The sequence below is a fragment of the Homo sapiens genome, chromosome 13 (assembly GCF_000001405.40).
Source record: "Homo sapiens chromosome 13, GRCh38.p14 Primary Assembly".
Classification (NCBI taxonomy): Eukaryota; Metazoa; Chordata; class Mammalia; order Primates; family Hominidae; genus Homo; species Homo sapiens.
Genome location: NC_000013.11, coordinates 110,793,779 through 110,802,783, shown reverse-complemented (window position 1 = coordinate 110,802,783; position 9,005 = coordinate 110,793,779). Strand labels below are relative to the sequence as shown.

General features: G+C 47.1%; 2 annotated features.

The window, feature by feature from the left end:
- Positions 3,893-4,394: an enhancer, noted in NCBI's record as "H3K4me1 hESC enhancer chr13:111450737-111451238 (GRCh37/hg19 assembly coordinates)". NCBI's record gives its function as "activates a minimal SCP1, AML or CMV promoter by ChIP-STARR-seq in naive H9 embryonic stem cells {active_cell/tissue: H9 hESC(naive)}" and the evidence as "EXISTENCE:reporter gene assay evidence [ECO:0000049][PMID:30033119]".
- Positions 8,045-8,942: an enhancer, noted in NCBI's record as "H3K4me1 hESC enhancer chr13:111446189-111447086 (GRCh37/hg19 assembly coordinates)". NCBI's record gives its function as "activates a minimal SCP1, AML or CMV promoter by ChIP-STARR-seq in naive H9 embryonic stem cells {active_cell/tissue: H9 hESC(naive)}" and the evidence as "EXISTENCE:reporter gene assay evidence [ECO:0000049][PMID:30033119]".

The following is a 9,005-nucleotide window of genomic DNA, read 5'->3' as shown; positions in this document are numbered from 1 at the left end:
CAACCAAACACCATGTGGGATCCGGAATGGGGTCCGACTGGAAAAGGACTTGAGTGGGAACCTGTTGAAATTCAGATAAAGCTTGAAAATTTGTTCATAGTGTGGTGTCAGTGTTAATTTCCTGGTTTCAATTGCTGTACTGTGGTTATGTAAGTGTTAACATTAGGGGGACTGGCTGAAGGGTATGTGGGAACTCTCTGTACTCCTTCTGCAATTTTCCTGTAAATCTGAAATTATTTTTAAAATAAGAAGTTAAAAAGGGAACATCTATACTTTGCTCCAAGCGTGTGGCAAATCTCCCACACGATGTAGCCTGTTCTATCCTATTTCCTTCTGTCTTCAGTGACGTTTCCCACATGCGTTCCGAGAGTATTTTATGACAAGGAAATACATTTTGGTTTGCCACTGTGTTATTTTCTTTGTATCAGCAATTTGAACCACAGCTGGAAGTGTTTCCTCAATAGTATTTGACTAAAATTGCTACTAAGTCAGAAAACTCAAAAGAGGCTTCTGGAAATTTATCACATGCTTCTTGAATTTTTATAATGTACTGTAGTGAGGATCTTACAAATGATAAGAGTTCATCTCCATCTCCAAGTGTCTAGTACTTGACTGTCTTGTTTATCTTGATTTGAGACGGTTTAGTTAATATTTCAAGACACAGCATATAATTACGGTGTGGGTCACCCTTGGCGACTGGGCATGTAAATCCAGACCTCAAATAGTCTTGGTCATTGTGATCTGTGCAGCCTTCTTGTCAGACGTGATGAGATTGTCACTGTTGAAACCTGTAGAGCGGCCAACACCAGCTCGTGGGAGGGGTAGAAAGGCCATCTTTATCGTCCAACATTGTTTGCTTAAGTTTGCATCTTCACAAACAGTGTCAAGCTGATTGTATGCAGGTTTCTGTTTAGGTCAATGCCTCCCTTAGCAAGGATTAGTTTTCTTTAAAAACAGATAGTTTGTAAATCCAGTAAAACAAGTACACCTCAGCTATTTATGAGATTCCGATAAAAGCCACTAAGGCACCACTGCCCCTCTCTGGCTGGGGACCTTCCCCAGGACCCCTGCACATCCACATGGCAGTGACCACTGAGAAACAAATGCAGCAAGGGTCCCAGTGTTGCTCTGAACATCACATATTGGTAAAGTTAATTTCTCCATTTCTTAGATGAAAATAAATGTAAATAGTTCAGATTATTTTCTTCCCATTCTCCAAAGCTGTACTGTCCAATAAAGTAGCCATCAGACACATGTGGCTATTTAAATGTGACTGTAAGTTAATTGAAAATAAATACAATTAGCATTCAGTTCTGCATCTGCACAGGCCACATCTTGAGTGCCCAACAGCACAGTCCCAACCTGAGGACCACCATGTTGCACAGAGCAGATGCAGAACCTCTCCATCGCTGCAGAAGATCCTGCTGGAAACTGAAGCTCCAAAGCTTGTCCCGTGCATTGCCCTCTGTAGCTGGTGACTTCAGAGTAGCATCCCCTCAGTCGAACACTGGGGTGAGCTAGTGACTGCCAAGCGCTAGTGCACAGGCTATACCCAAAAGCCCCGGGCTGGGGAGTCTGCCATGGCGGAGGCACTCCTGTCAGCCTCCCTGGGCAGGGTTTTTCACGACTTTGCTTCTCCCAGCTGCTGGAGAACCCAGACAGACCCTAGGATGCTCTTGTCACCCTCTGCTGTGCTTAGCAACATCTGAGAAAACCATTACCTCAGGTCTAATTCCCCATAAATCAAGGCAAATAATAGCTCAAACTGTCAAAACAGATAGAGCATTATTATTTGCCCTGTGTTGTCTTCTGGGGCAGCTTATAAGAATGTCAAAGAAATACAATTCTGGGTGAAAATCCTTTAGAAGGTGTAACTATGTCCACAAAATGGGAGAGAGAGAGAGTGCGTGAACACCTTGAAGGAGAGGGGAGGGGCATCCTGGCAGGTGGGAGGAGGGCTGCCATTGCAGGGGACCGAGAGGCGAGGAGTGAGCAAAGCACTGCAGACAGACACTGCCCACTGCACAGGGAGCCGCCCGGGTGCCTGAAAGCATCGCCTTGGCATCTGCACATCTGTATTTCCAGCAGCAACTCTTGTTAGCCTGGGCAAAGAAGCAAATGCCACTTTCCAACACTGGACAAATTAGATGGGTGGGAGCTGAGATACAATCAGTCAATCAATCAGCCAGCAGCCCTGACCCCCTCACACCTAATGACAAAGAAAGTCCTTCCATGAGGTTGGGCGCGGTGGCTTAAGCCTATAATCCCAGCACTTTCGGAGGCTGAGGCGGGTGGATCACGAGGTCAGAAGTTTGAGACCAGCCTGATCAATATGGTGAAACCTTGTCTCTACTAAAACAAAACACAAAAATTAGCCGGGTGTGGTGGCGCACGCCTGTGATCCCAGCTACTCAGGAGGCTGAGGCAGGAGAATCACTTGAACCCGGGAGGCAGAGGTTGCAGTGAGCTGAGATCGTGCCACTGCACTCCAGCCTGGGTGACAGAGCCAGACTCCATATCAAAAAAGAAAAAGAAAAGAAAAAGAAAGTCCTTCCGTGAACAGCCGCTGCGCTCTCTGAACGCTCGGTGGAGAGGAGTCTGGGAGGGCACTGACATTACATTTCCAGCTGCTGTGGTGAAGGGAAGGGAAACGATGATGAAATATAGTTCAGTAGGAAAAACATCTTTTCTGCCCACTTCTCACAAGACGAATGACAGAGAAGATGAAGTTGGAATTCTTTCCATTTGCTTTTGCCTCATGGATCGGATCCTGGAGGGAGAACGAAATGCGTGGGCTGCCAGTGTGTGTGTGTGGAAGAGCTACAGCTCATTTCTGTAACAGGAAACAACATCTGTTTCTACTCAGGGACCAAATAATATTTTTCAAAGTCTGAGCTGAGCAACTAGGTTTCCTTTTACTGGAAAACCCAGTGTGGCGCCTCATACACTGGAAGCTCAGCCCTTTTTCCTAACTTGCCCTTTCTCCTGACCTGCCAGGAAACAGGAAGGCTTCTACCCTTCCATCCACGCATGGTCCTGCGGTTTCCTCAGCCCTGGCCGGGATTGCAGTCAGCGCTGGGAGGGAGGACCGGGTGCTGTGCCCAGACTGTCAGTCTTTCGTGCTGAGCCCGACAGTGTGATCCACTCTCTGTTCTGACGCTACGCTTCCCTTCCTCGGTGCCCAAGCTGAAAGAGGTCTTTGTCCATCCAACAGGGAGAGAAAAGTGCGCTAAGTTAGTTTTTCTAAACGGAGGGCCAGCACACATACCACACAGTAGAGGAAGTGCGCGAATCTTAAGCGCACAGCTCTGTGACCTTCCCATGTGTGCCTCAGGTCCAGACCCAGGACATGCCCAGGGCCAAGAGTTTCCTCTCATGCATCTCCCCAGCCCATGACCCATCCACCCAGGGATTGAGGCAACGCAATTGCGATTCCCAGAAGAATCCATTCTTCCTACGCAACGTTTTGCATCTGGCCTCTCTATGGACCTTCCAGGCAGCCTGTGGTGTAGGGGACTTGTGAGGCTAGGGAAACTGCCCAATAGACCTCCAGGTGACCCCTGCCAGAGCTGCCTAGAAAAATGCCACCAGCTGTCACTTACTGAGTGTCTCTATGCACCGGAAACCGCACCGAGGGCTCTAATCTTTATAGCAGCCCCCCAGGTGGACACTGGTTATTTCTCGTTGCCAGGCCGTGCAGCTAGTGCGTGATGGATTCTGACTTTACCCAGGTCTGTGGCTCTTTACTCTGCCCCACCAGCTCCTGCACTTGCTTCCTCCTTCCCGCCTTCTCCCCGTGCCAGGGCTGACTTGTCCACTGCACTTTGGTGGGTGCAGAGTGTTCCCAGGGAAGTGAGAGGTGGACTTGGTGATACCCACAGGCCTGAGAACCCAGACTCCGCCAGGGCACGCCAACCACAGTTCCCAGGATGGCCAGAGCTGTTAGCCCCGCCTCCCTACTCCAAGTTCAGTGCCAGCCGTTTGGCAGCTTGAAATCGACAAACACTATCCAACAAGGGTTTTGTTTATCTCAGGACAAAGGTGAACCTGAGGCTATGGGATCCCGATGGCCACAAGGGAATGCCCAAGCATTATCTGAGGATTTGCAGCAGGACTGCCCGATCGCAGATTCTTCTCTCTTCCATTTTAAGCCTCTGTTCTATGCTGGGCCACATCCATACAAATGCTTTTCTTCCCTCCACCGTGAAACGTACTAGTATTTGTTCCAGTGCAATCTGATCTCAAGACACGGCCCAGCGCTGCATCTTTCTCCAATCTCCTAGGCTGGCTCTGACGTCCCCACCCAAGTCCCAGCCTCAACGCTCCTAGTGTGGCTCTGGGTCCATCGAATCCACTTTGGGCCCCTTCAGTTTTGCAACCACTCTGGACTCACTTTCAAATGTTTTTCCATCTCAGCACCCACCTCACTCTTATCCGAGAGGTTCCCTAGTCCTTAGAAGAGGACTTGGCAGAAGCTCTAGTGTGACCCCCAAGCCAGTCTCTGAATCCCCGCCATGGCAAGAGGCCATAGGGCTTGGAAGAGCAGAAAGGAAAGTGAGTTTGGGAGGCTGGCAAGTGAAGAGAACAGGCTTGGGAGGCAAGTGCAGGTGGGCTGGGATCCAGCCTCTGCCACTTTCCAGCTGTGAGACCATTGGCAACTTATGTAACCTCTCTGAGCTCCAGGGATTTTTTTTTTAATTTGTTAAAAAAAAATTAGAATAACTGTTTCATTGGATTGTTGAGATTATTAAGATCATCAATAGGATATGTTTAATATATTCAGTATTTTTATTAAAAGATAGCAATTTTTTTTTCTACCGTTGACTTCCCTAAATATATGTATTTCCTTTTCTATAAGGCAGGAATAATACCCTACAAAGAAATCCCAGATAAGGAGTAAAGTAAGTCTGCAGTGGGTAGACTGGGTTCTGTGGTGTAAAAAGGCGTTCTTCCTCACCATGTGTGGCTTTCACCAGCATGAGTTTAAACACTTGATCACAGCAACCCACTAGGAGCCAGCTAATCTCTCAGGACGAGCACATGTTAACTAAGTTCATGAGGCAGGTGTATGAAACTGTGATGCCAGTTTATTCATTTGCATTACAAATGCAGTTTTCACGGGAACTTGCTCCCTGCTGGCAGAGCCTCTCTCCTGCCTGGAGGACAAGAAATACTCAAAGCCAATTTCCTAAGCCGATTACCCTGAGCAAGGTCAAGGTGAGCATCACTCACGTTTCTTCAATGATTCTCGTTGTTGTAAGCTTCCCTACCCCAACAGCTCTAACAATGCAATAAACCCTAAACTAACATGAAAAAGACTGACAGTGCCAAGTGCTGGTGAGGAAGTGAATCAGCTGGAGCTGGCACACGCTGCTGGGGGAGTGCAGATTGGCAAAAGGACTTCGAGAAACTGTGTGGCAGTATCTATAAAGCTGAACAAATGCCTATCTATGACAAGCAAACCAGTTCCTACATTTCTGGCTAACAAAAATGTCACATGTTCACCAAAGAACATGGACTAGAACGTTCACAGCAGCTTCATTTGTGATAGCCAAATGCTGGGAATTGCCAAAAGCCCATCAGCAGGAGAATGGAAAAATATAACAAAATACTATTCATCAGCGAAGCACCAAAATGATAGTGACACATCTAGCGAGTGGCAGGGCCAGGGTTTGAACCCAGGCACAGCGGTGCCAGAACCTTGCTCTTATCTGTGAGATGACCCCCGCCTCTGGTGCAATGTGCCAGTCACAGTACTTACAGCCATGAGCAACAGAAACTGAAGCTGGCTCTAATGAGAGTAGAATTTATTCAGAAGATAAAAAGATATAAAAAGAAGAGAAAAGAAAGAAGAAAATGTAAAAAAAAAAAAAAAAAAAGAACAGAAAGAAAAGAAAAGAAGAAAAGGAAAGAAAAGAAAAAAAGAGAAAAGAAAAGAAAGCAGGCTGGACCTACTGGGAACCTGGATGTGGAAAACCATCCCAGGGACCGAGGAGGTTACTCTGACCACACTAGCCCCTTAGTTCTTCCTCCCTGGCCACTGCTCCCTTTGCCTCTCTATAGATTCTGTCCCTCCGCGGTCATATTTCCTGCTCCCTGCTCACAGGCTCCCAGCTATGGTGGCCCTGGCTCTGAACCTCCATTCATACAACTAATGGCAGTGCTTAGGACTGACTGGTCTCAGTTATATATATATAAATATTAATTTACCCACCTAAATAGTTCATACATGCACATGATTTTCTTTAAGTCAGAAAGTGACACATTAAAAAGTTTCCTGTCTGACCCCAAGACACACCTCCCTCCTCCAAGGTCACCCTATGTTAATGTTTGTTATACCTTTCTACAGGCATTCTGTGTATAAAGAGTAATTTTTTTAAGCATCCAGGTTGGTGGAAAGAAAAAAAACCAGAATAGCCAATGAAAATCCAAAGACTTGCCCAATCTCACCAGTAATCAGGGAATGGTAAATTTAAAATTTAAGAAACCAGGCTGAGCATGATGGCTTACACCCATAATCCCAGCACTTTGGGAGGCCAAGGTAGGAGGATCACTTGAGGCCAGGAGTTCAAGACCAGCCTGGGCAACATAGCAAGACTTCGTCTCTATAAAACATTTAAAAATTAGTTAAGTGTGGTGGTACGCACATTCCTGGCTCAAGTGATGCTCCCATACTCAGCTTGGAGGCTGCGTATGGGACTCTGGGAGGATCACTTGAGCCCAAGAGGTTAAGGCTTCAGCGAGGTGTGATCATATCACTGCACTCCTGAGTGACAGAGCAAAACCTTGTCTCTCCATATATACATACACATATACATATACATATACATATACATATACATATACATATACATACACATACACATATACATACACATACACATACATATACACATATACATACACATACACATATACATATACATATACATACACATACACTTATACATATACATATAATGTCTTGCATGAGATTTTTTTAATGTCATGCATTTTTAATGCATTTTTCATAAAACCTAGCAGTTTGTCCACTAAGATATACTCTGACCAACACTCACAGTTTACACAAGAAATGTGTGCAAGCACAGTTGCAATAGAAAAAGGGGATAAACTATCACATAATTATAAGATAGAATGCCATACAGCCATTTTAAAAATAGGTCTACAAGTATCTATTCAAAATATAAACAGGTTTCTTGCTTGATCTACGGATTCTACTCAAAAGCACGAGTAGATTTTAAAATCCGAATGCCATCTCAGTTTCTACTTGTGGATGTCAAAAGCTGGAAAGAATATTTATTGCTTTCACCCTTATAACAAGAAGAAAGGCAAGCTAAAAATTCATGACTTTTCTTGAACCCATAAGAACACTGAGGTCAAAGGACATGGCTTCACTAGGAATTAGAGGAGAAACAGGGGCCCAAGGCAGACACCTGCTTACCTGGGGCAGATGCAGCCAGACACCATGAGGAGAAGCTGGTGGGAGAGCACAAGCCCTTGGGGGCCACAGATGTAGGCTGTTCCTACCATTTTGTAGTTTTTCCTACATCAGACCAATCAGGCACTCAGGGAGAACACGGGGAGTCTTGAACAAGCTTCCCTCATGTCATAAGCCTAGAAAACTTGTACTGAAGCATAATATAGAACATCAGTGAACACATGCTCTTGGCCAGCGAACATAGGCTAAAAAGCGCTAAGTAAAGGCAGCACTGGAATACTGCTGGGCAGCGGGGGAGCAGCCTCTGCAGGAGGAACACAAAACTCCGCCCAGACCTTTCCTGTCTCCTTTGGAACAAAAGCCTTAATCTGGGGAGGGGAGCACCAAAATAATTACATTTTAAAGCATTTGTCAAACCCACTGCACCTGGGGTTAGAGGGAGGGAAGAGAAACAAAACAATCTACCTTTGGGAGGACATGTGTACATTCTGGGTCCAGGACAACACCTGCAGAAGGGCAGAAGCATGTCTGAAAGCCATACCCATGAAACCCAGGGATGCAGGGTCTGGATTCGGTCCAGCCTAACACTGAGCATGATGAGAACATTGTGGAGCACATTTTTTCCCTTTCACGAGGTAGCAGGCATCAAGTCAAAGTCACAGTGAGACACTTCCGAGAGAGCTGCAAAGACAGACTCTCACTGAGACCCAGGGTCAAGAAGCCCCGCAGCTGAAGGTAGAGCAGACACAGAGAAAAACCCTCTGGAAAACCAGCCCCACCCTAAAGACAAGCTAATGTCACAAGATCTTTTGGGTGTCACTTTGCCAGCTGGAAACCTCTGTGGCCAGCGGCACCTCTGCTTGGGTTTTGCTCACACCAGCTGGGCTTGTTTCACCCACTCAGCCTGGCAGTCTGCACTCAGCTCATGCTACCAGCCCAGATTCCACACCTGCCAAGGGTGAGCCAGACGCAGAGTGGCGAGGGATATGTGGGCGAGCAAGCGCAGGGTCCAGCCACTGTACACAGCCAGGCATACTGGCTGCTGTGGCAGAACAGGCAGCCCCAGGTGCCGGCACAGGTGCCAGCTCTGTGAGAGGCTGAAACTGGACCAGACGTACCACAGGCAGCTTCCATTGCAGGCGCCAGCATCTGGACAAGGGGAATGCAATGGCACATTAGCAGGGGCACCAGGAACCCCAGAGCCCCAAAGAGGGTGTTACAGCATATCACAGACCTAGGTCAGGGAACCCCGAGGGCTGGGCTCCCAGAAGGGCCACAGCTCTTCTCACCTTCTCATTGCCTGCAACATGGCAAGCGGGGGGCATGTTTCAGCCCTGCTTGTGTTACAGCCCATTCAGTCCCGACATTTGGTTGGTGCGGAGTTCTTGTCTTACATTCAGGAAGAATGAGGTATGAGGATAACTGGAGGGTGAACAAGGGGGAGAGGAGCTTCATTGAGCAACAGGACAGCTCTTAGGAGACCTGGAGTGGGTAGCTCCTATCTGCAGGCAGCTCATCTTGATGAGTGTCCAGCTCTCAGTGGAGAGGAGACCCAGAGTGGATAGCT